Source organism: Homo sapiens, chromosome 10, assembly GCF_000001405.40.
Source record: "Homo sapiens chromosome 10, GRCh38.p14 Primary Assembly".
NCBI lineage: Eukaryota > Metazoa > Chordata > Mammalia > Primates > Hominidae > Homo > Homo sapiens.
The window spans coordinates 57,302,710-57,304,885 of record NC_000010.11 but is presented as its reverse complement, the minus strand read 5'-3'; the positions used below and the strand labels follow the sequence as shown (position 1 = coordinate 57,304,885).

Sequence of the window (2,176 nt, the reverse complement as noted above, 5' to 3'; positions counted from 1 at the left end):
GTTTATCTATGTGACAAACATGCACATCCTGCACATGTGCCCCTGCTTAAAATAAAAATTGGAAATTAAAAAAAAATGTTTCTATGAAAAAACTTCTCTATGAAAAAAGTTTTCTATGAGAAACAACACTCTGGAGCTCTTCACATACATCATTTCCTGGAGATTTTTAATGCAGTATAGTTTTTAAATACTCTGAAATGTCCTGTGAAAAGTAAACCTGGTTAAACTGATTGAACCTGATATTTTCCAAAACAAATATATAGATACACACAGAGAGATACATGTATGCGCACATATGTGTACATAAATATGTATTTAAATTAAAATAAATGAAAAAGTAGTAGTCAAATATGCAGATCTATGTCATATATACAGATATGTATATGTGACTGCTACTTTTTTGTTTAATTCTCTTACCCCTATCTTTCTCTTTTCTATGTATGCAGGTATGTAACAGATATGCAATTGTACCTTGGAAGATGCTTTTCTCATATTTTGGCATCACCTATTGTTTAATCCTAAAGCCAAGGAAAGACTCAATATTTAACACTTGAATTTAAGATTATAAATTATATTTACCAAAAAGGCAAATATTATCCTAACACTGCATTTTAATTTCATGACTTCCAATATATCTGGAGATTAGGGAGGAAAAAGGTGTTAAAATTTTTATTTTAAAGTACATCACTTTACAGTTTTCTGACAACTATAGCTGACAAATTTGTTTTGTCTCAAAGATAATTTAGAGTGACAAGTTATTTCTTTTGGGGGCCACAGATGCAAGAAAAGATTTACTTCATCTGCTTATTACCCTAGAAATCTCTAAACAAAATTCTAGTTCAACTTGCATTTGTGATTTCTCTAGACTTTACTTTATTTACCAGTGCCCTATATGGACAAGATCATTTAATTAAAAAAAACCCTTAGAATTATAAAATTATAAAGTAAAATTGAAGGAAATGTATGGAGTATTTCATTGAACCTTATCATTTCTTTGTGTGCATGTGTTTGTGTGTGCGTGTGTGTCTGTCTGTCTGTGAGAGAAAGACAAAGCACAATGACTTAAATTGGCCATTTTGTCTCCCTATATTGGACAACTAGAGTCATGAATGCTGATTTTGCTGAGTCAGCATCCCTACTGGGAAACACAGAGGCCACTTGGTAGAGGCAAATATAAACGTTCTTGGGAAACACATTTTTGTTTAAATTTTCCTCATAAATTTATTAGACTAAAATCAACTGGTATAACAGAAATAAAAACACGGTGCAAATATAAACTTTTATTTTTATATTGATTCATTATTTGCTTTATAAATTTTTTATTTTATAAATAAAATGGCCTTATGTAATTGCAATGGCATACATGAATTTTTTTCCAGGTATTGTTTGACTTTTAATAAGCTGGTTAGTGACTTTCCACTAAGTAAATCTTCACGACTAAATAGTGTACTGCAAGGATGCAAATACAACCCCAGGCCTTTGTCAATAAGCTCCCTCTATGCTCCAGTGTAAAATAAAATTATCGTTTGCTTCTTCACATCTCATATCCCTTCTCCATTTTGTACTGTGTAGAATTTGTACTTTTGCTTTGCATTTAAGGAAATACCTGTCACTTATCTTTTTTTTTTCTTTTGTAGCTTTCATGCTAATAAAGAATTGGCTGTCCTCACCTAGCAAAATATTTTTATGCACAAACTACAATGACATGGTTGCCAACCTGGTTTAATGGTTTGAATTAAGAATGACCATTTATTTATGATAATAGAAATGCTCTCAATAAACCAGTTCAGTGCACTATATGCCATAAGTAGACTTACTAAATTGAGAGGACAGAGCCTGGTAAAAAGAAGTCAACTCCTCATCAAACAAAGAAGAAAAAAGAAAGATTGAAATAACAGACTAATTCATTTTTGATACAACGTTTTTAAAATCTTTTGAGGGAGAAATTGTCTGCTCTCTGCAAATGCAAACCAGCTAGTTTCTGCTTCCAAACAATTGAAGAGTATTGCTCACAAAATTATAAAGAAGGCTGTTTGTTTATGGAGCTCTCACACATCTCCTTTCAGTCTTTCTCTTGACTTTTCCCTCCCTACTCCATCAGAAACTATGTGATTCCTTATTCCTGACATCACAAGCTCAATGCCACAAAAGCCAGTCATTTAATAAAGGTGTGAAG

At 31.9% G+C, this 2,176-nt stretch overlaps 1 non-coding gene across 1 annotated transcript; it reads left to right on the top strand.

The window, feature by feature from the left end:
- Window positions 1-326: 326 nt before the first annotated feature.
- MIR3924 (microRNA 3924) lies at window positions 327-407 on the top strand. The gene has a single exon (NR_037490.1). It is a non-coding gene; the product is annotated as a microRNA 3924 (primary transcript).
- Window positions 408-2,176: the final 1,769 nt, after the last annotated feature.